We start from the raw sequence: 24,814 nt of genomic DNA, 5'->3' as shown, positions 1-24,814 counted from the left end.
ATGGGAGGAGCTGTGGCCCATGGGGTCTTCATTCTCTCTTGTTATTTTTTTTTTGTTAAGATGGAGAGACAGAGGCTCACTCTGTCTCCCAGAGTAAACTTTAGTGGTGCGATCTTGGTTTACTGTAACCTCCTCCCAGGCTCAAGCAATTCTCATGCCTCAGCCTCTCGAATAGTTGGGATTACCTTTGCACTTCGCCTGGTTAATTTTTGTATTTTTAGTAGAGACGGGGTTTTGCGATGTTGACCAGGCTTGTCTGAAACTACTGGCCTCAAGTGACCTGCCCACCTCGGCCTCCCAAAGTGCTGGGATTACAGGCCTGAGCCACCAGGTGCATGGTCTCTTCTGTTAAAACTAAAGGGAGTCAATGTTAAAACATTAACGGGTTTATTTGAACAAACCGTGATTGGTGAAATGGAAAGCACCCGGCCCTGATTTGTGGTCCACCTGAGGGGGATAAAAAAAAAGGGTTTTATAAAGTGCTTGAGAAGGCAAACCAGATTCAAGAATGGATTACAGTTATGTAGTTACCTTATTTGTATGATCCAGGTGTAAATTTCCTGGTTTTGTAACCAGAGGTTAATTGCAGGTTTATAATCACTTAGGCCTGAGTTTTTTTCTCCCTAAGAGAGTAATTTATAAGAAATGCATTAGTTAGGTTTTAGATGTTTTACTTATGAACACAGGGCACTAGAGCCACTTCAGTCTAATTTCCCGCTGTTTAATTATTTTTATTTATTTATTTATTTATTTTAGTATTTATTGATCATTCTTGGGTGTTTCTCAGAGAGGGATGTGGCAGGGTCATAGGATAATAGTGGAGAGAAGGTCAGCAGATAAACACGTGAACAGGGGTCTCTGGTTTTCCTAGGCAGAGGTCCCTGTGGCCTTCAGCAGTGTTTGTGTCCCTGGGTACTTGAGATTAGGGAGTGGTGATGACTCTTAATGAGCATGCTGCCTTCAAGCATCTGTTTAAGCACTGCCCTTAATCCATTTAACCCTGGGTTGACACAGCACATGTTTCAGAGAGCACGGGGTTGGGGTTAAGGTTATAGATTCACAGCATCCCAAGGCAGAATTTTTCTTAGTACAGAACAAAATGATGTCTCCTATGTCAACTTCTTTCTACACAGACATAGTAACAATCTGACCTCTCTTTCTTTTCCCCACATTTCCTTCTTTTCTTTTTGACAAAACTGCCATCATCATCATGGGCCATTCTCGATGGTCGCTGTCTCTTCAGAGCTGTTGGGTACACTTCCCAGATGGGGTGGCCTGGCAGAGGCGCTCCTCACTTCCCAGATGGGGCGGCCGGGCAGAGGGGCTCCTCACTTCCCAGATGGGGCGGCCGGGCAGAGGTGCTCCTCACTTCCCTGATGGGGCAGCTGGGCAGAGGTGCACCTCACTTCCCAGACGGGGTGGCGGCTGGGCAGAGGCTGTAATCTTAGCACTTTGGGAGGCCAAGGCAGGCGGCTGGAAGGTGGAGGTTGTGGCGAGCCGAGATCATGCCACTGCACTCCAGCCTGGGCAACACTGAGCACTGAGTGAGCGAGAACTCCGTCTGCAATCCCAGCACCCCAGGAGGCCGAGGTGGGCAGACCACTAGAGGTCAGGAGCTGGAGACCAGCCAGGTCAACATGGCGAAACCCCGTCTCCTCCAAAAATACAAAAATCAGTCAGGTGTGGCGGCGTGCACCCGCAGTCCCAGGCACTCAGCAGGCCGAGGCAGGAGAACCACGGGAGCCCGGGGCAGGGAGGCTGCAGTGACCCGAGACCACAGCAGTACAGTCCAGCCTCGGCAACAGAGGGAGACAGAAGAAAGAGGGAGAGGGAGAGGGAGAGAGAGAGGGAGAGGGAGAGTGGTTTAATTATTTTAACTCTCCACAGGAAGACTGGTCTTTCTAATGTATGACAAGCAGGGCCTCTAAGCCACCACCGTTTTCCCCTAGCCTAACTCAGGCTTGCAGTAAAATTGTAAATTTCCACTTTTGTTCCTACATTCTCAAATTTTGGAAATGAGGCCATCTTCCTCTCTCCAACATACAACACTATACCATAAGTGTATTTTGACCTTCAGGAAATCCATAAGTAGTGTATTTCTTTTTCTTTCTTTTTTTTTTTTTTTTTTTTTGAGACGGAGTCTTGCTCTTGTCACCCAGGCTGGAGAGCAATGGCATGATCTTCGCTCACTACAACCTCTGCCTCCTGGGTTCAAGTAGTTCTCCTACCTCAGCCTCATGAGTAGCTGGGACTACAGGCATGTGTCACTACCTCCAGCTAATTTTTTGTATTTTTAGTAGAGACAGTGTTTCACCATTTTGGCCAGTCTGGTCTCTAACTCCTGACCCCAGGTGATCCACCTGCCTTGGCCTCCCAAAGTGCTAGGATTATAGGCGTGAGCCACCGTGCCCAACCCCATAAGTGTATTTCACATACCATAAGTGTACTTTGTGTACCATAAGTGTACACATACCATAAGTGTACTTTGACTCTCAGGAATTATGTGTATAGTGCCTTTGCCCCTAGAATTTCTCACCAAAAAATTATACAAGTTCATAGAGGACTCCTGGCTAATCTCTATTCCAGACCGTGAAACTGCAGCACAACCTGATCTCTTCATCAACCTGGGCTTGTGAGCCACCAATCGTAATCTCATCTGCCTGCATGGACACAGGAATATGTCAGAATATAGCCCTGCCTTGGTTAGTATCTGTAGCATAAGAGTCCTCCCAGTTACCATGCACTGTCCCCTATTAATGAGTTATTGATAGCATCTTTCCCTCTTCTGTCTTTTACTTCCCCACAAACACTTTTTGATGTGCAGAATGTGCCCAAGGCCAGCCCTCAGGTTCCTGAATCTAGCACCTACTAGAATTCAGATGTCCATGAGTTCAAGATTATGGCCCTAGACCTGGATGTTGTAAAAAAAGATACAAATTACAAATACAGGCTTCACCCTTCTTGAAAATAAGGGCAGAGATTTTTCTCTTTTCTTTTCTTAAATCATTTTCTGTACAAAACTTTTGTATGTAAATTCTTTTCCTGCCTAGTTGAAATATATACAAACTATTCTAACTGCTAAATAGGTCTTTTGTATTTTTGACTCAAGACTGTTTTTCTCTAGGACCTCAGAATTATTAATATTAATATATATATTTTTTGAGATGGAGTATCACTCTGTTTCCCAGGCTGGAATGCAGTGGCATGATCTCGGCTCACTGCAACCTCTACCTCCCAGGTTCAAGCGATTCTCCTGCCTCAACCTCCTGAGTAGCTGGGACTATAGGCACCCGCCACCACGCCTGGCTAATTTTTGTATTTTTAGTAGAGATGGGGTTTCACCATATTGACCAGGCTGGTCTCGAACTCCTGCCCTTGTGATCTGTCTGCTTCATCTTCCCAAAGTTTTGGGATTACAGGCATGAGCCACTGCACCCAGTTGACCTCGGATTTATTTATTTATTTATTCATTCATTCATTTTTGGGGGGAAGGAGTTTCACTCTTGTCCCCCAGGCTGGAGTGCAATTGTGCATTCTCAGCTCACTGCAACTTCCACCTCCCAGGTTCAAGCGATTCTCCTGCCTCAGCCTCCTGAGTAGCTGGGATTAGAGGCGTGAGCCACCACACCCAGCTTCTTTTTTAAACTTTTATTATTATTGTTCAATAGAGGTCTCGTCCACCACATTGCCCCCAAGATAGTCTCCAAATCCTGGCCTCCAGATATCCCCTCACCTTGGCCTCCAAAGTGCTGGGATTACAGGCATGAGCCATCTTGCACAGTCTGGTAATATTTTTGATGTGTTGATTCTTTCCAGTCCAGATGCATAATCTCATCCCTAAACATTCCTGCTGGTGTGATTATGACATATCACTTTACCCAGCACCAGAGTGATTTGATGCTCCTCCCTGGGCCCAGGCCACAAATGGGATTGTGACATATCCCTGGACCCAGAGAGGTGGTGTGACAATTCTACTGCCTTGGCACTGCCCACAGAGGACATTGTGACATATCACTGAGTTTGTACCCAGGTGGTGTGAATCTTCTCTCCTGCCTTGTCTCTTCCACAGGGGGCATTGTGTCATATCGCTGGGCCCCACACTCAGGTTATGTGACTCTTCTGCTTGTGCTCTTCCCATGTGGGTCATTGTGACATATTGCTCTGTCACACACCCAGGTGAGGTAACCATACTGCCTAGGTCCTGCCTACAGAGGACATTGTGACATCCCTGCACCCATCACACAGGTAATATGACTCTGTTCTCCTACGTGGCTCCTGCTCACAGAAGGGATTGTGACATATCACTGGGCTTGGCACCTAGCTGACATAACTCTCCTCCTTGTCTTAGGTTCTGCCTGCAGGGGATACTGTGACATGTCACTGGGTCTAATACTAAAGTAACGTTACTCTTTAGCCTTGCCACTGCCCTCAGAAGGCATGGTGATGTATTGCTGGGCCCAGAAGCAATGTGATGTGAGTCTCCTTCCTGACCCTTCCTGCAAGGTACCTACAAGATACATCTCTGGGCCATTTACTATTTTATGTGACTCTTCTCTCTACCTGGATGTTGCCCAAAAAGAGATTGTGACATAACTTTGGGCCCAGAACAGAGGTTATGTGACTCTCCTCTCCTGCCTGTGCCTTGCCCACAGAGGAGAGAGTGACTTATTACTGAGTTTAGCACACGGGTGATGTGATTCTTCTTCTGGCTCACGGAATTCATTGTGACATATATCTGGGCCCATCACTGACATTATGTGGCTCTTCCTCCTGGGACCTGTCCACACTGGGGAGTGTGACATTGCTTGGCCCTTCACCTTCATGATTTGACTCTCCTCTTATTCCTGGTCCCCACTCACTGAGATGATTTTGACATATAGTTGGGCCCAGCTCCAAGGTTATGTGACTCTACAGTTCTTCCTGAGCCCTACCCACAGCGGGAATTGTGTCATATGTCTGAGACCCTCAGTTAGGTGATGCAAATCTTTTGTTTGGGCCCTCTTCTCAGGGTGTTGTGATACATAGCTGGGCCCAGCATCTAGGTGATGTGACTCTTCTCTATTGTTTGGTCTCTGCCCAAAAAATAATTGTGATGTATCACTGGGTCAATAACCTAGATGAGGTGACTCCTCTCCAGCCTGGGACCTGCACACATTGTGTGTTGACACATATCACTGACTCCACCTCCTAGATAATGCAACTCTCCTGCGTGGGCCCTGCCCATAGGGGTATTATGAGCTATCATTTTATTAATCACCTAGGTGATGTGACACTCCTCTTCTGCCTGGGCCCTGCCAAAAAGCTTTGTTACATGTCGCTGAGCCCAGCACCTAAGTGATGTGACTCTTCTCTCATGCATGGGTCCTGCCAACTAGGGAGTTTGTTACTTGTAGCTGACCCCAGCCCTTAGGTCATGTGATTTTTTTTTTTTTCCAGAGCCCTACCTACATAAGGCATTTTGACATATTTTTGAGCCCAGAGGTATTATAACGTATCTTTCCTTTTTACTTTTTTGAGACGGAGTCTCGCTCTGTTGCCAGGCTGGAGTGCAGTGGTGCAATCTCGGCTCACTGCAACCTTCACCTCCCAGGTTCAAGCGATTCTCCTGCCTTAGCCTCCCCAGTAGCTGGGACTACAGGTGCCTGCCACCATGCCCAGCTGATTTTTGTATTTTTAGTAGAGACGGGGTTTCACCATGTTGGCCAAGATGGTCTTGATCTCTTGACCTTGTGATCCACCTGCCTCGGCCTCCCAAAGTGCTGGGATTACAGGCTTGAGCTACCGTGCCCGGACATAACATATCTTTTCATTCATCAACTAGGCAATGTAATGGTCTTCTGCCTAGGCCCTGCCAAAAAGGGGTATTGTGGCGTATCACTGGACCCAGCATGTAAGTGATGTGACTCTCCTGTTTTGCCTGGGCCTCCCATATTTTGGTTATTTTAAAATATCATTAGGCCCAACACCTATAGGATAGTATGTTCCTGCCTGGGCTCTGCCCACAGGGACCTTGTGACATATATCTGCATCCATGACCTAGAAGATATGACATTTTATAATCCCCTTCACAGGAAGGATTGTGACATATCCCTGGAACCAGACACCAGGTGATGTGGCTCTTCTGTCTTTGTCTTGACCCCAGCGAGCATTGTGACATAGTGCTGAGCTCAGCACCCAGGTGACATGAGTCTGTTGCCTGTGCTGTGCTTTCAGGAGAGAATTGTAACATATCCCTAGCTGAGCACCCAGGTGATGTGACACTCCTGCTTGGCTGCCTCCCTCAGGGAAGATTGTGAGATATCCTTGGCTGAAATCCAGGTGATGTGACTCTCCTGCTAGGTCCCTACCTAATTATGACATACACTGTTGTCAGCTTACAAATGTGATGATGGCTTTCATTAATCAAATCAGCTATTAGAAAAGATACTGTCTTTCATAGCTCGACTTAGAAAAATGAGCAACATCCTGGGTCCTCTCTTTGTATGCAGGTCATACAGGATTGCCACAACCCCACCTATAATATAATGCCTTCAAGTGTTAGAGAGAGTGTTATCACAGGGCACAGCACATTGGTGAGATTTTGTTTCTTATATGCACACCTCACCAGCCATTAGGATTATCACCCTCACACAGAGAAAGAGCCCATTGCTGAGGTCTTGAATTTCCCATGCAAACACAGCCCATAGTTGGAATTGTGACTGTCATATGTGAGCATCCAACCACTGTTTGAATGATGACACAGTTCTAAACCCAGAACATAAGCAGTGAGGACTCTACTATCTGGACCCAGCCAATTGGAGAGATGTTGACTCTAATATCTGGGCATAGGGCCATAGGTATGGTTGTGGTTGCATACAAAGATGAAGATCTGGCCAGACACGGTGGCTCACGACTTAACCCCAGCACTTTGAGAGGCCAAGGCGGGCAGATCATGAGGTCAGGAGTTCAAGACATCCTGGCCAACATGGTGAAACCCCATCTCTACTAAAAATACAAAAATTAGCTGGGCATGGTGGTGGATGCCTGTAATCCCATCTACTCGGGAAGCTGAGGCAGGAAAATTGCTTCAACCCAGGAGGCAGAGGTTGCAGTGAGCTGAGATCGTGCCACTGCACACCAGCCTGGGCAACAGAGCAAGACTCCATCTTGGTGGGGGGGGAAAAGATTCTCCCTTGGGGAAACAAAGATGAAGATCTCAGACTGAATTGTGATTCTCATTGACACTGTATAAAGCCTTTGGGTAGTATAGAGAGTGTACTAACAGGGCCCAGCTCACAGGGAAAATTGTGACAGTTGTATGCACACCCACACACAGTATACATTGTCATTTTCCCACATGAACACAGCGCACTTTTGAGGTTCTGAATCTCACACCTATAGGCAGTCAAAGGCCGGAAACTTGACTCTCAGATGTGGATCCAGTTCACTGGTGAGTTGGTGACACTCAGAGCAAGATTCAGCACACCTATGAGGCTGTGACTTCACTAATTAGACAGTCTGCAGGAGGAGTTGAGGCTCTCATGCACAAATTCAGTCAACCATTGCCATTGTAACTCCTGTTCTTAGACACAATATATAGGAAGTGTTAACCTCCTATACCTAATACCGGGACATGTGTGGGATTGTTAATTTCATCCCTGAACCTCCTGCAGGTTTAATTGTGACATTTTTCTCTGTTCATCAGCTGAGTGATCTGACTCTTGCATGGTCCAGCCCACAGATGGGATAGTGACATTTTGCTGAACCCAGAACTGAGGGTATATGACTCTATTCTGTGTTAGTGCTGCTTGCAAGGGACATTGTGACACCTTGCTGTGCCTTGCCACATAAGCAATTGTAAAACACTGCTGGGTCAAACACCCTGGTAATTTAACTCTACTGCCTGGGTTCTGCCATCAAGGGGCATAGTGACATATCTTTCCATCCATCACCCAGGTGATGTGACTGTCTTCTGCCTGGTTTCTCCAAAAACTAGGGATTGTGACATATCACTTGGCCCACTACCAACAGGGTGACTCTTCTTTTCATCATAAGTTTTGCTTGGATAAGAGATTGGGACATACTGTGGGGCTCAGCACCAATGTGAAATTACTGTTCTGCCTTGGCCTAGACCTCAAAAGGCATTGTGACATATTTCTGGGCCCAATAACAAGGTGATGAGGGTCTCCTGTCAGAACCCTGACAACAGAGCATTGTGAAATACCTTTGGGAAAATCAACTATTTGTTGTGACTCTCTTGCTATGCCAAGGCTTTGCTTATATAAAGAAGAGATTGTGACATATTTTTCAGCCCAGAAATCAGGTGATGTGTTTCTCCTGCCTGGGCTTTGCTCACAGGGAGCATTGTGACATATCACTGAGCCCGGCACCCACGTGACGTGACTCTACTGCCTCTGTCCTTCTTTCTTTTCTTTTTCTTTTTCTTTTCTGTTTTTTGGGGGTGGGGGGAGATGGAGTTTTGCTCTTGTTGCCCAGGCTGGAGTGCAGTTGCGTGATCTCAGCTCACTGCTACCTCCGCTTCCTGGGTTCAAGTGATTCTCCTGTCACAGCTTCCAAAGTAGCTGAGATTACAGGCCTGCACCATCACACCCAGCTAATTTTTTGTATTTTTAGTAGAGATGGGGTTTCACCATGTTGGCCAGGCTGGTCTCGAACTCCTGACCTCAGGTGATCTGCCCGCCTCAGCCTTTCAAAGTGCTGGGATTACAGGCATAAGCCACTGTGACCAGCCACAGTTTCTTCTTAAAAGAAGGGCAGGCCTGGCAAGGTGGCTCACGCCTATAATCCCAACACTTTGGGAGGCCAAGGTGGGCGGACCATGAGGTCTGGAGATTGAGAGCATCCTGGCTAAAACAGTGAAACCCTGTCTCCACTAAAAATACAAAAAATTAGCTGGGCATGGTGGCACGTGCCTGTAGTCCCAGCTACTCGGGAGGCTGAGGCAGGAGAATTGCTTGAATCTGGGAGGCAGAGTTTGCAGTGAGCTGAGACCATGCCACTGCACTCCAGCCTGGGTGACAAAGTGAGGCTCCATCTAAAACAAGGCAGAAGGCTCATGCCTGTAATCCCAGGATTGTGGGAGGCCGAAGCGGGTGGATCACCTGAGGTGATTATCACACATAGCCTAGCCGCTAGGTTATGTTACTCTCCTCTTTTCTTGAACCCTTCCCACAGTGGACATTGTGACATGTCTCTTGGCTGCTAACCTAAGTGATGTGACTCTCCTGCCTAGGCCCTCCCCTCAAGGGGTACTATGCCATATTGCTGGACTAAGAACCTAGGTTATGTGACTCTCTACTGACAGAAAAAGATTTTGATATATCACTGGGCTAGTATCCTAGGTAATGTTACTCTTCTGTTGCCTTGGCCCTGCATACATTATGTATTGTGACACATCACTGGGGCCAGCACCTACGTGAAGTGACCCTCCCGCATGGGCTTAGCCCACAAGGGTATGATGACATATCTTTTCATTTTTCACTCAGGTGATGTGACTCTCCATTTATGCCTGGGCCTTGACAAAATAGGGATTGTGACATATCTCTGGACCCAGCACCTAGGTAATGTGACTTACCTCTATTGCCAGGGCATGGCATATTGTGAGTATTGTGATATATCTCTGGGCCCAACACCTAGGGGATGAGAGGCTTCTGCCTGTGCCTTGCCCACAGGAGGCTTGATGGCATGTCTCTGTCTTCATTACCTAGAAAGGTGTGACTCTCCTCTTTTATCTGCATTCTTCCCACAGAGAAGATTGTGACATATCACTGGGCCCAGCAATTAGAAGGTGTTTCTCTCCCACCTGAGCCTTTCTCTCAGGAAAATTCTGACATATCCTTGGACTCAGCACCCAGGTGATGGGTCTTTGCCACCTATGGCCTGCCTACATAGACCATTGTGAAGTATAGCTGCTTTCAATACCCACGTGATGTAACCGTTCTTCCAGGGCACTGCCTTCTAGGGAAATTGTGATGCATTTCTGTGTGGATCACATAGGTGATGTGAATCTTTTCACTGGACTGATCCCTGCTCACTGGGGGATAACGATATGTATTGCTGGTTTCAGCACTGAGCTGATGTGATTCTTCTCTTCTGCAAGAAAACTGACGTATTGCTGGGCCCAACACCAAGGTTATTTTGCCTGGCCTGCCCTCAAAAGACATTGTGACATATTGCAGTGCCCAACATGAATGTCATTTGTCTCCTGCTCAGACCCTGCCTACTTGGGGCATTGTGGCATATTTCTTGGCCTATCAACAATTTGATGTGGCTCTCCTTTCTTACCTTGGCTTTGCCCATAGTAGAGATTGTGACGTATCTCTGGGCCAAGCACCTAGATGATGTGACTCTCCCCTTCTGTCTGGGCCATGCCCACAGAAAATAGAGTGACTTATTGCTACACCCAACACACAGGTGATTTCTTCCTTCTGCATGATCTCTGCTTACATGGACTATTGTGACACATCTCTGGTCCCATCACCTAAATGGTGTGACTCTTGGTGAAGGATTTATGTGATGTGACTTTCTTCTTGTACCCTGTCCACAAGGATGATTATGTCATATAGGTTTACCCAGCTTCTAGGTTACGTGACTCTCCTGTGACACACGTACACACACACACACATATATATATATAGAGATAGAGTCTCAATCTATTGCGCAGGCTGGAGTGCAGTGGCATGATCTCGGCTCACTGCAAATTCTGCCTCCTGTGTTCAAGCGATTCTATCTCAGCCTCCCAGGTAGGTGGGATTACAGGTGTGTGTAACCACACCCGGCTATTTTTAATTTTATTTTATTTTTCTAGGGGTCTGTCCTGCAGACCCTGACCCAACGATGGATGAATAATGTACACTAACACAGATATTATGCTTGTCAGACCGGCTGAGGGTCTAGGCCACTTACAGACTCAAAGGAGAGTGCTGTAAAGAGTTGCAGCTGTGGCCCTGACTCACTGGCCCTGCTGGCATTTATTCAGCACATATTAAATGACGAAGGCTTTGAGTCAACACCATCAGTGGGTAATCAATCTGGTTGCCCTCCCCCTACCCTGAGAGAGCTATCCTGCCCATAAACTATCAAAGGTTAGTTTTAGGACCACATAAGTAAACAAGTCATTTAGATAAACTACATTTCTGTGTATCTATGCCCTAAGCTTTTAAGAGAATTCAGCTGCCTTCAGCCCAACATTTTATGCAAACCCCCAGGCCTTCCACAAGTGTTTGTGATTATTTCCTATAATTTTACAATTTCTCCCACCATCCTGACTGAATCCCCCACATCTTCCCCTTTTCTGTTCTTTGCATCAGGTTCTGTTGACTGAAGAGTACAGATGTGGGAACAAACAGGTCTCTCAGGAGAGGTGGTCATTGCTCTTATTCCAACTTTGCATCCTAGAATTAGCAAATAACATAAGACAATCATGAGTATAATTAGCAACATTTTTTTCCAGTCAAAGAGTGACCTGTAGTGTTATTTGACACTTCAGTTCTATGTGTGCTGTTACTATGGAGCCCTACTAGGAGTAAATCTATCCCTCTTAGCCAAGCAGTTACATTATTTTATTTATTTTTTTTTTTTTTTTGAGACGGAGTCTCGCTCTGTCGCCCAGGCTGGAGTGCAGTGGCGCGATCTCGGCTCACTGCAAGCTCCGCCTCCCGGGTTCACGCCATTCGCCTGCCTCAGCCTCCCGAGTAGCTGGGACTACAGGCGCCCGCTACCACGCCCGGCTAATTTTTTGTATTTTTAGTAGAGACGGGGTTTCACCGTGTTAGCCAGGATGGTCTCGATCTCCTGACCTCGTGATCCGCCCGCCTCGGCCTCCCAAAGTGCTGGGATTACAGGCGTGAGCCACCGCGCCCGGCCAGCAGTTACATTATTAAAGGCTGGGAAGGGGATGTCTCCCCAGGTGACAGGGCAAAAGAAAGGTGGGTTCAAGTATGAGCCTAATAGAGTGTAGCAGGTACAGGTGGCCAGCAAAGCAAGAGTACAAAAAGGATCAATACCCTATGTGAGTTGCAATATACACAGAAAGCATAGCAAGGAAAAAATTTCCTGGAGTAATTGGTGTCAGTGTCCAGAGCAGGATTCGTTCAGCCTCCTGAGTTGTCCTCTTCAGCATCCCCCAGGTCCGGGGCTTGTGTCATCTGTGGAAGCTGCTTTGTTCAGGGCTGCGGGTACTGTAAGGTCAGTTTCTTCATTTCTGATATGGGGTTGGGTCCTAGGCATGCCATGGTATGGTTTGATGCATCGTGCTGGAATCCAAAGAGGACCTGAGGGGGTATGAACACAAGCATATCCTCTTCCCCACGTTAACAAAAACTGCAGGTTTTATGTCTTGAGAGGTTTTAGCAAAGTGCTTTTCTACAGCTGATTGAAATTTATCATCTAAATTTAGAAAATTAAGGGTCAATAAGGCTTGTGCCAATAGTGTTCCAGGGTCTTTACCCATACTCCCTCTTTTTTGTTTTTTGAGCATATTTTTAAGAGTGGAATGGGCACATTCTACTATGGCTTGTCCTTGGGGATTATATGGGATGCCTGTGAAATGTTGGATATTCCACGTGTGGCAAAACTGTTGAAATTGTGAGCTGGCATAAGCTGGACCATTATCAGTTTTAATTGTTGTGGGCCACCCCATAAACACAAAAGTTAAAAGATGTTTAATGACATATTGAGTGGACTTTCCGGGAAGGGCGTGTGCACTAATTAGACCTGTTGAAGGAGGGGACATGCCTGTAAGCTGGCAAGCTGAGCATTGCAGGATAATTTGTTTAGCCAGCCTCTGGGTAAGTTGAAATTGTTTAGATAAGTTTTTCTAATTTTGGTGGAAGAATTGATGTGATTTGCTGGCTTGGTTAAGCAGTGATGTTATAACAGGAAGGTCTGCTTGATAATTGCCATAAGTTAATGGGCAAGGCAGTGAGCTGTGGGATCGAATGTGTGCCCATAAAAATAGGATGTGTACATTGATCTAGCAATTGCTGAAGTCAGAGAAAAAGAGCACACAGGGCAGACTTTAGAGTGGACTTAATTAAGGTTGTCTCAAGATTCTGCAATAAGTAAACAGAGTAAGCAGAGTCACTCACAATATTGATGAGCTGAGTGGAAAAAGTTTCCAAGGCCAATATCAGGGCCCCAATATCAGCTCTCTGAGTGAAAGTAAACCCAGATTGAGTGAGTGAATTTTATGGTCTCCACCACACTGCCACTTTTCCATGTTTACCTGAACCGTCAGTAAACAGTGTTAAAGCATTAGGTATGGGGAAGTGAACTATTTTTGTAGGCAAAATCACAGGAGTACAAGATAAGAAATGAAGGAGTTTATTAGCAGGAAGGACATGCTCTATATGTCCTGGGTAATCAGAGAGAGCTATTTGCAGATCGATAGATACTGGCAATACTGCTTTGAATTGCCTTTTACTTAAAGGAATCCTGATGATATCAGGATCATAATCTAGCAACTGACTGCATCGTTTGTGGCCTGAATAGATGACTTTACTGAGTAATTGGATATAGGGAAAGAGTGTTTTAGTCCCAGTATATGAGCAAAAAAACTATCTAGGAAGCACAGTTCTGGGGTTATCTCTCCTATTAACCCTCTAGGGGAGTGTTTTACTGAATTGAGTAGCCTGGATATATGCAATCTAGCTGCCTCTGAGAGATGGATTGTTCTATTTCCTCAATTTCCCCTGTTTGCTGCAGGGGTTAAATTTCTGGGATAATCTAGGGCTGTATTGCCCGTTAAGATAGAAAACAGGTTTTGTAACTTATCAGTAGGAATCCCCAAAGTGGGGTAGAGTCAGTTAATATTGACCAGTAAGTTCTGATAATCATTTACTGTATGTAAGTTGCTAGTATTTAGTTTAACTTTTTGAGGTCTTACTGACTTGGAAGTTAGTATGTACCCAAGATGTTTCCAAGGAGAGGACATTTGTACTTTTTCAGGTGCTATGAGTAAACCTCTTAACTGTATTCTTTATGATAGAGGTAAATAAATTTAAAAGTAGCAGCTCCATTGGGACTGTTAGTAATATATCATCCATCAAATGAATAATCTTGCAATCAGGAAATTCTTTTATACTGGGGAGCAAAGCTTTATTTACAGGATACTGGCACATGGTAGGACTGTTTAGCATTCCTTGAGGAGGCACTTTCCAATAAAATTGACAAGCTGGCCTTTCATTATTGATAGCTGGTATTGTAAACACAAATTTTTCTTTGTCCTGTTCTGCTAGGGGAATCATATAAAAACAGTCTTTTAAGTCAATAATGATTATAGGCCAATCTTGAGGAACTGCCATGGGGAAGGGAACCCCTGCTGAAGGGGTCCCATAGGTTGCAAGTTGGCATTAATAGCATGTAGGTCATGTAAAAGCCTCCATTTACCTGACTTTTTGGGGATGACAAAAATGGGTGAATTCTAAGGACTATTAGATGGTTCTACATGCCCAGCTTTTACTTGCTTTTCAAGTAATTCATGAGCCATTTGTAATTTCTCTACCTTCAGAGGCTACTGCTTTACTTAAATTGGAAATGGAGAGAGTCACATTAGGGGTAAGAGAGAGATAAAAACAGTGGCCATTATTAGAAAGAGGTCTTTTAAATTCTTAAATTTTACTTAAATCTTAGCACAGAATTATAATCTGGGATATCAGTTGTGTCATGCATGTCCGTGTGAAGAGATGACCAAACAGGCTTTGTGTGAGCAATAAAGCTTTTTAATCACCTGGAGGCAGGCAGACTGAGTCTGAAAAAGGAGTCAGCAAAGGGAGATAGGGGTGGGGCAATTTTATAGGCTTTGGGTAGGTAGTGGAAAATTACAGTCAAAGGGGGTTTTTCTCTTGCAGGCAGGGCAGGGGTTACAAGGTGCTCTGTGGGGAGGTTCTGAGACTCATTGTCCAGGAGAAGGAATTTCACAAGGTCAATTGACCAGTTAGGGTGGGGCAGGAACAAATTACAATGGTGGGATGTCATCAGTTAAGGCAGGAATTGGCTATTTTTACTTCTTTTGTGGTTTTTTAGTTGCTTCAGGCCATCTGGATGTATACGTATGTGCAGGGTTGGGCTCAGAATCCTGACATTCCTGTCTTCTTATATTAATAAGGAAAACAAACAAAATAGTGGTGAAGTGTTGGGGTGGTGAAAATTTTGGGGGATGGTATGGAGAGATAATGGGTGATGTTTCTCAGGGCTGCTTCAAGTGGTATTAGGGGTGGCGTGGGAACCTAGAGTGGGAGAGGTCAAACTGAAGAAAGATTTTGGGGCAAGGGGTTATATTGTGGGGTTGTTAGAAGGAGCATTTGTCATATAGAATGATTGGTGATGGCCTTGATGTAGTTTTGTATGAGTTGAGAAACTAAACAGAAGACACAAGGTCCAAATAAGAGAAGGAGAAAAACAGGTATTAAAGGACTAAGAATTGGGGAGGACCCAGGATATCCAAATAGAGAGTGCCCAAGGGGTTCAGTGTAATTATTTGCTTGGTTGGTGAGTTTTGGGGCTCAATCCTTGTGATTTTTTTATGCTGTCCTATACCAGGCCAGATTGATTTAGGTCAAAACAACACCCTTCATTTAAAAATTTAGAGTCCTCCTTTTTCAGCAGTAATTCAAGGCCTATTTCTGTCTTCTTATACTAATAAGAAAAATAAAACAAAATAGTGGTGAAGTGTTGGTGTCATGAGGGGAACAGGAAGCTGTTCAGTCCTATTTGTGAAATGATTTTTGGGAGTAAAGGAAACTAGTGTACATGTGCCTGTCCAATTAATAGGTAGACACATGTAGGTGGAGGAGCCACAGAGGAAGAAGGGACCTTTGTAAGGCATAACTGGAAATGTAAAGTGAAAAGATGAGAACGAGAAAAACTGACCATGAGGGACCAAAGTTGGAATGCTAACTGCTTCTTTAGCTACCTTATCAGCATAAGCGTTGCCCTGAGCAATGGGATCTGATGCCTTTTGATGGCCCTTGCAGTGAACTACCCTAGCTTCCTTGGAAGTAGAGCAGCTTTAAGAAGAGTTTTTATTAAGGAGGTGTTAATGATGGAGGACCCCTGTGTAGTGAGGAAACTTCTTTCTGCCCATATAACAGCATGGTGGTAAAGGATGTGGAAGGCATACTTGGAATCAGTATAGATATTGACAGCTAGTCCCTTTGCAAGAATGAGGGCTTAAGTTAAGGCAATGAGTTCTGCTTGTTGAGAGGTAGTGGAAGGGGGCAGGGCTGTAGCCTCAATGATAGATGTGGAAGACACTATAGCATAACCTGCCTTTGCCGGTGATTGGCAATTGGACCTGGAAGAACTACCATCAGTAAACCAAGTGTGGTCTGGGTGGGGAACAGGAAAGGGGGAAATAGATTTTGAAAGCTATGGGAACTGTAGAGAGTAAGTGGAGCATAGCTTGTGATTTTGAGGGTGCCTAAAAGTATTAAAGCAGTGGCAGCTTCTGCACATAGACATGAGGGCTACCCCAGAATTGTGAGGTCAAGTTGTTTTGATAGAAAGGCAACAGGTCATGGGCCTGGCTCCTGTGTGAGGACTCCAGCAGCACAGCCTTGTATTTCAGCTGTGTGTAAGGAAAAAGGATGGGATAAGTCGGGGAGTGCTAGTGTAGGAGCTGCCTCCAGGGCCTTTTTGAGAGAGTGAAAAGAAGAATGGGGAAAAGACTTATGGTCTGTGGGATCAGTTAAGTTACCCTTTGTGAGTTTGTAAAGTGGTTTGGTTAGGATAGCAAAACCTGGTATCTAGAGTCAGAAATAACCAACAATGCTTAAGAAGGAAAGGAGTTGTGTGGTGGTGGGGATTGGGGTCTGGGAGATTAACTGAACCTGGTCTACGGGAAGGCACGTGTATGTCAATGGAAGATTATACTGAGATAGGTAATGCTAGGGGAAGAAATTTGTGTCTTGGAGGGGGATACTCTGTATCCCTTTGAGTAGAGATGTTGAAGAAGCAGGATAGTGTCCTGCTGGGAAGATTGGTAAGAGGGGCTACAAAGAAGATCATGAAAATATTGAATAAGGTGGAAGGCAGATGAGCAAACAGAAAGCAGATAATGAGAAAGGGCCTGGCCAAAGTAGTGTGGGCTCTCCTTGAACCCTTGGGGCGAACAGTCCAGGTGAGTTGCTGAGACTGATGAGTGTAAGGGTCAGTCCAAGAGAAAGCAAAAAGAGGCTGGGATGAAGGGTGTGAAGGAATAGTAAAGAAAGCATCTTTGAGATACAGAACAGAATAATGGGTTGTGGAGGGAGGAAATGAGGATAGGAGAGTATATGGGTTTGGCACCATGGGGTGGATAGGCAAGAAAATTTGGTTGATAAGATGCGGATCCTGGACGAGACTGTAAGACTTGTCTGGTTTTTGGAAAGGTAGGATAGGAGAGTTGTAAGGAGAGTTTGTAGGCTTTAAAAGGCCATGCTCTAACAGGCGAGTGATAACAGGCTTTAGTCCCCTTAAAGCCTATTGTGGGATGGGATACTGGCATTGAGTGGGGTAAGGGTAATTAGGTTTTAATGGGATGGTAAGGGGTGCATGATCGATCACAAAGGAGGGAGTACAGGTATCCCATACTTGTGGATTAAGGTAGGGAGACACAAGGGGAGAATGCAAAGAAGGCTTTGAACTGGGGAAAAGGGGGGCAATGAGGTGTGGCTGTAGCCCAGGAATAGTCATGGAAGCAGAAAATTTAGTTAAAATGTCTCAACCTAATAAGGGAGCTGGGCAGGTGGGGATAACTAAAAAAGAGTGTATAAAAGAATGTCCAAGTTGGTACAAGATTTGGGGAGTTTAAAGAGGTTTAGAAGCCTGGCCATCAATACCCACAACAGTTACGGAGGCAAAGGAAACAGACTCTTGAATGTGGAGTGGGTAGCCTCCATATTGATTAAGAAGGGGATGGACTTACCTTCCACTATAAGAGATTACTCAAAGTATCTGTGATGGTCCAGGAGGCTTCCGAGGTAATTGGGCAGCATCAGTCTTCAGCCACTAAGCCAAGATCTGGGAAGGAGTCAGTCAGAGAGCTTTGGGCTAGAATTCTAGGGGCTCTAGGAGTGGCTGCCAGGTGAGTTGGACAGTCCAACTTCCAGTGGGGTCCTGCACAGATGGGACACGGCTTAGGAGGAATCCTGGACTGCGGGCATTCCCTGGCCCAGTGGCCGGATTTCTGGCAATTGAAGCAAGATCCTGGGGAGGAGGTCCTGGAGGAACACCTGGCCCCTGCAGTTTAGGAGTTTTGAAGTTCTTGTGTGCTGGAGATGTAGCTGGGGTTTCTCTCACAGCAGAGGCAAGTAATTGCAACTCAGAAATACATTGCCGCTTGGCTGCCTCTTCTCTATTACTGTACACCTTGAAGGTGAGGTTAATTAAGTCCTGTTGTGGGGTTTTACAGCTGGAATCTAATTTTTGGGGCTTTTTTTAATGTCAGGAGTGGATTGGGTAATAAAATGCATATTGAGAATAAGACGGCCTTCTGGCCTCTCTGGGTCTAGGGCAGTAAAGCATCTAAGAGTTGTTGCCAAACGGGCCATGAACTGGGCTGGGTTTTTATATTTGATGTAAAAGAGCCTAAATGCTAACTGATTTGGGAGAGGTCGGATAAAGAAAAAGGAGCATTAACCTTGACTATGCCTTTAGCTCCAGCCACCTCTTTAAGAGGAAATTTTTGGGCAGGTGGGGGAGAGCTAGTTGTGGAACAAAGTTGTAAGCTGGACCAAGTGTGAGAAGGGGAGGTCATAGAAGGATTATAGGGTCGGGGAACAGAGGCTGAGGAAGAACTGGGACCTGGCTCATCCTGGTGAGCAGCAGCCTGGGGAGGAGAAGAGAGGTCAGATGGGTCCTTAGAAAAGGAAGATTTAAAGGACTCAGAACTTGGGGTGGAGACTGAAGGAACAGACAGGAGAGAAAGAAGAAAGATTTGGGATGAGTCACATTGGGAGCAGAGACTAGGGAGGGACCGATGTGTAAAAGAATGCCTGGATGTCTAGAACCTCAGACCATTTGCCCATTTTTGACAAAAGTCATCCAGGTCTTGTAAGATGGAGAAATCAAAAGTGCCATTTTCTGGCCATTTGGAACCATTGTCAAGTTTGTATTGGGGCCAGGCAGTGTTGCAGAAGAAAATAAGGCATTTAGGTTTTAGGTCAGGTGTGAGTTGAAAAGGTTTTAAGTTCTTGAGAACACAGGCTAAGGGAGAAGAAGGGGGAATGGAGGGTGGAAGGTAACCCATAGTGAAGTTTGAAGAGAAGGGTAGAGATGTGGAGAAGGGTGTGGGGTGAGCAGCCCTGGGCTGTAACATGGGTGAGCAGCCAAAGCAGGCATCCCCACAATTGTCTTGCCAGCAAGGGAATGTGGGTGAATGACCAAGGCAGGCATCCCTGCGGTGATCAGACACCAATGGAATGTGGGTGATCAGGACAGGCATCCCTACGATGATCAGACACCAATGGAATGTGGGTGAATAATCAGGGCAGGCATCCCCATGATGATCAGACACTAAGGGAAGACTGTCTTCCTGAGTCCATGACTGGTGCCAGAGTTTTGGGTTCATGGATAAAATGTGTCTCCTTTGTCTCTACTAGAGATGAAAAAGAACTGGAATTGGAAGGACAAGGAGATTGAAGGGTAGTAAGAGAGGCTGGAGAAGAAAGTGAAAAGACCGCTTACCTGATTTGAAATTGGTGAGATGTTCCTTAGGCTGGTTGGACTGAGGACCCGAGGTTGTAGGTGGATCTCCTCATGGAGTGAGGGTGAGGACAGGGGACCAGTCTCCCGAAGGAGTCCCCCATCCCGGGTCTTCAGCACCAAATGTCACGCATGTCTGTGTGAAGAGATAACCAAACAGGCTTTGTGTGAGCAATAAAGCTTTTTAATCACATGGGTGCAGGCAGACTGAGTCCGAAAAAGGAGTCAGCAAAGGGAGATAGGAGTGGGGCAGTTTTATAGGATTAGGGCAAGTAGTGGAAAATTACAGTCAAGGGGAGTTTTTCTCTTGCAGGCAGAGATGGGGGTTACAAGGTGCTTAGTGGGGAGGTTGTGAGACTCATTGTCCAGGAGAAGGAATTTCACAAGGTCAATTGACCAGTTAGGGTGGGGCAGGAATAAATCACAATGGTGGAATGTCATCAGTTAAGGCAGGAATTATTTTCACTTCTTTTGTGGTTCTTTAGTTGCTTCAGGCCATCTGGATGTGTACTTGCAGGCTTGGGCTCAGAGGCCTGATAGCTTGTATACAAGGAACACATGAAATTTTGCTGTGGGCTGCCCGTGGAGTTGGAGGGCAGCAGCGCGGGTCCTGGGGTGGCTGTCATGTTGCACTTGCCTAGGCGCCACTTTTTGCCTGTGCCACTTTTCGCTTGTGCTGCTCCCTTCCCCCACCACCAGGCTGCTGCTGGCTTGGCAGACCTTCCCGTGCACGCCTTCCACCCCTCCTTAGCAGGCTAGGTCTGGCATGCTGGGCCTGGCTCCCCATCCTCGACACCACACAGGCTGTTTTTGGGAGCATTTGCTGGCACCATGTCTGTGAGCTTCCCTGCTGCCAAACCTTTTCTTCTGCCCGCTGCCTGCTTGGCTGCACAGCTGTGGCCTCTAATGCCTTTTCTCAACTCTTTTTTTTTTTTTTTTTTTGAGACAGAGTCTTGCTCTGTCACCAGGCTGGGCCAGGTCGAAGTGCAATGGTGCAAACTTGGTTCACAGCAACTTCTGCCTCCCGGGTTTTCAAGTGATTCTCCTGCCTCAGCCTCCTGAGTGGCTGGGATTACAGGCGTGTGCCACCACTCCCAGCTAATTTTTGTATTTTTAGTAGAGACAGGGTTTCATCATGTCGGCCAGGATGGTCTCGATCCCTTGACCTCATGTTCTGCCTGCCTTAGCCTCCCAAAATGCTGGGATTACAGGGGTGAGCCACCGTGCCTGGTCTCTCAACTCTTTATGTAACTGGTTTCCTCATTGATTTTACATTACTGGGCAGGCTAATAGCTCCCGTTCTAATGCTACTTGCTTAAGACAGGGTTGCATTGCTGTAGTGTATCCCTCATCTTTTTTCCTATTTATTTGAGGAGGAGGCTTAGGTAAAACCTCTGTTTCTTCTTTGTTATTTTGGGGCTGAGGGAGAAGGAGGTGGTAAGGCAGGTGATGATTCCTCCTTTTTCCCCTTTTTAGGCTCTTCTGTGTATAATGGGACCAAGGCCACCCTCACTAGAGCCCATAATATTAAAGATGATACTGGGATGCGTTACCCTTGCACATGGTGTTGCTTAAGATTTCTCCCCACTTGTTCCCAGAGCTCTATGTCCAGCATGCCTTCTTTTGGGAACCGTGGGTTATGGGTTGCAACAGTTTGCATTAGGTCCCTTAATTGAGCCTTCAAAACTGAGGCTCCACTAGCTTTAAGCAGCTATTTCAATGCTTTTATATACTATTTCCGCTGAGCTGGTAACTGTTGTCCCATGATGAAACCTCAGCCTGAACAATCCCCGCCAAACTTGGAAATCTCATGTGGGCACCAATGACTTACCGATTACTCACTGACTGTGCAGTTCCTTTTTTACCATTGTTTGGGGGTCCGTCGTGCTCCCTGCACAGCATTCCTCACATGGGGCACCAGCTGCAGGGGTTTGTCCTGCAGACCCTGACACAATGACAGATGAATAATGTACACTGACACAGATATTGTGCTTCTCAGATCGGCTGAGGGTCCGGGCCACTTACAGACTCCAAGGAGAGGGCTGTAAAGAGTTGCAGCCATGGCCCTGACTCACTGGCCCTGCTGGCATTTATTCAGCACACATTAAATGACAAACGCTTTGAGTCAACACTAATAGAGGGTAATCAACCTGGTCGCCTTCCCCTCTAAAAGAGCCATCCTGCCCACGAGCTATCAAAGGTTAGTTTTAGAACCACATTTGTGAATAAGTTATTTAGGTAAACTAGTCTACATTCCTATGTATCTATGCCCTGAACTTTTAGGAGAATTCAGCTGCCTTCAGCCAAACAGTTTATGCAAATCCCCAGGCCTTCCACAAGGGTTTGTCTTTATTTCCTATAATTTTACAATTTCTCCCACCATCCTGACTGAACCCCCACATAGTTTTAGTTAGAGATAGGGTTTTACCATGTTGGCCAGGCTGATCTCTAACTCCTGACCTCAGGTTATCTACCTGCCTCCACCTCCCAAAGTGCTGGGATTACAGGCATGAGCCACTATGCCTGACTGACATATTTTTTGACTCGGCACCTAGGTGATGTCGCTCTTCTCCACTGCTTAGACTCTCAAGAAGATATTGTAATGTGTCACTGTGCCTGACACCTAGGTGATGATACTCTCTTCTCCTGCCTGGGCCCTGCATAAATTGCATATTTTGACATATCACTGGGTTCAGCAAATAGCTGATGCAACTGTCCTGCATTTTCTCTGTACATGGGGGTATTAGGACATATATGTTCATTCATCACCTATGTGATGTGACTGCTCTCTTCTCCCTGGTCCCTGCCAAAAGGCAAGATTGGGACATATCACTGGAACAAGAACTTAGGTCATGTGACTCTTCTGTTCCGCCTGAGAACTGCATATTTGGTACTGTGACATTTTACTGAGCCAGACTCCTAAAATGGGAGGCTCCTGCCTCAGTCCTGGTTAGGGCTGCAAAGCAGGTTGGATCATGTTTTTTTCTTTTTTTGAGACAGAGTCTCGCTGTGTCACCCAAGCTGGAGTGCAGTGGTGAAATCTCAGCTCACTGCAACCTCCACCTCACGGGTTCAAGCAATTCTCCTGGCTCAGCCTCCTGAGTAGCTGGAACTACAAGCACGTGCCACCATGCATGGCTAATATTTTATATTTTCAGTAGAGATGTGGTTTCACCATGTTAGCCAGGTTGGTCTTGATCTCCTGACTTCATGATCTGTCCACCTTGGCCTCACAAAGTGTTGGGATTACAGGCATGAGCCACCATGCCTGGCCTAAATATTATGTTTCTTGTAAGCACATTCTGCCTATTTTTAGAATTGTCACCCTCATACATAGACAGAGCCCACTGATGAGGTCATGATTCTCACATGCAGATCCAGTCCACAGTTGAAATTGTAACTATCATATCTGAACATCTGGCCAGTTGAGATGCTGACCCTTTTTTTTTTTTTTTTTTTTTAACATGGAGTTTCCCTCTTGTTGTCCAGGCTGGAGTGCAATGGTGTGATCTCTGCTCACTGCAACCTCCGCCTCCCGCATTCAAGCAATTCTCCTGTCTCAGCCTCCCAAGTAGGTGGGATTACGGGCAGTGCCACCACACCTGGATAATTTTTTTTTTTGTATTTTTAGTATTTCTCCATGTTGGTCAGGTTGGTCTTGAACTCACGACCTCAGGTGATCCGCCTGCCTCAGCCTCCCAAACTGTTGGGATTACAGGTGTAAGCCACCATGCCCAGGTGAGATGCTGGCTCATTTCTAAACCCAGCTCATTGGCAAGTGAGGACTCTCCTGTCTGGACCCTGGCAATATGAGAGATGTTGACTCTCATAGTTAGACTTAGGACCACATAAGATTAAGAATCCACAGAAGTACAAAGGTCTCAGAGCAGATTGCAACTCTCCTGCATACCATATAAAGCACCCAGGTGGTAAAAAGAGTGTACTGGCAAGGCTGAGCACACAGGTGAGATTGCGACAGTCATATTCACACCCAGTTAATAGCAAAGATTGTCATCTACTTAAATGAACACAACCCACTTTTGAGGTTCTGAATGTTACTTTTGGAGGCAGTTGAATGTTGGAAAATGGACTCTCGGATTCTTTCCATAGTTGGGTTGGTGACTCTTTAACCAAGATTCAGTGCACCTTTGTGGCTGTAACTTTAAGGCACAGAGTTTGCAAGAGAAATTGAGGCTCATGCACAAACCCAGTCCACCATTGAGACTGACTCCTGTATTTAGACCCAAAATGGAGGAGGTGTTGACTCTCATCCCTTCACTCGGGACATGTGTGTTATTGTTAATGTCATCACAGGACCTTCCTACAGGTGTGATTGTGACATACACCTCAGCCCAGCATCTGAATGGTTTGACTCTCTTCCCTGGGCCCAGCTCGCAGTGATATATCCCTGGAACCAGACTCTATTCTGCCTTGTAAAGCCCACAGGGGTCATTGTGACATATTGCTGAACCTTGCACCCAGGTGATGTGAGTCTCCTCTTTGGCCTTGGTGCTGCCCACATGTTTATTGTGACATATTGCTGGGTCTCACACTTTGATTATGTGACTCTCATGCTTGTGCCCTACCTACATAGGCCATTGTGACATATTGCTAAGTCCATCAGCCAGGTGAGGTAATGCTTCATCCTGGACCTTTCTACAGAGGGCATTGTAAGATACATCTTTCCAATCACCCTGGAAATGTGACTTATTTTTCCTGCCTGTTCCCCAATGACTGGGGGTATTGGGACATATTGTTGGGCCCAGCACCTAGCTGATATGACACTTTTCTTTCCTTTTTTCTTCTTCTTTTTGACGGAGTTTCACTCTTCTTGCTCAGGCTGGAGTGCAATGGAGTGATCTCAGCTCACTACAACCTCTGCCTCCCAGGTTCAAGTGATTCTCCTACTTCAGCCTCCCGAGTAGCTAGGATTAAAGGCATGTGCCACCATGCCCAAATAATTTTGTATTTCTAGTAGACATGGTTTCTCCATGTTGGTCAGGCTTGTCTCGAACTCCCAACCTCAGGTGATCTACCTGCCTCAGCCTCTCAAAGTGCTGGGATTACAGGCATGACCCATTGCGCCCGGCTGACACTTTTCTTTTTTTAAGTTTCTGCTCACAAAAGAGAT

The 24,814-nt window shown here is 46.0% G+C and overlaps 2 long non-coding RNA genes across 3 annotated transcripts; both read right to left on the bottom strand.

The window, feature by feature from the left end:
* LOC105372339 (uncharacterized) lies at positions 348-3,987 on the bottom strand. Its single transcript, XR_936488.3, has 3 exons — positions 3,734-3,987; positions 532-623; positions 348-447 (listed from the first exon to the last, which is right to left on the bottom strand). It is a non-coding gene; the product is annotated as an uncharacterized LOC105372339 (long non-coding RNA).
* A 6,879-nt stretch (positions 3,988-10,866) lies between these two features.
* LOC105372338 (uncharacterized) lies at positions 10,867-19,833 on the bottom strand. 2 transcript variants are annotated; one of them, XR_936486.2, is made up of 3 exons: positions 19,666-19,833; positions 17,906-18,000; positions 10,867-12,272 (listed from the first exon to the last, which is right to left on the bottom strand). It is a non-coding gene; the product is annotated as an uncharacterized LOC105372338 (long non-coding RNA). The 2 variants fall into 2 exon arrangements; XR_001753885.2 differs by having other exon boundaries at positions 10,867-11,393.
* Positions 19,834-24,814: the final 4,981 nt, after the last annotated feature.

Source organism: Homo sapiens, chromosome 19 (genome assembly GCF_000001405.40).
Source record: "Homo sapiens chromosome 19, GRCh38.p14 Primary Assembly".
Taxonomy (NCBI): Eukaryota; Metazoa; Chordata; class Mammalia; order Primates; family Hominidae; genus Homo; species Homo sapiens.
This window is presented reverse-complemented; position numbering and strand designations above follow the sequence as displayed.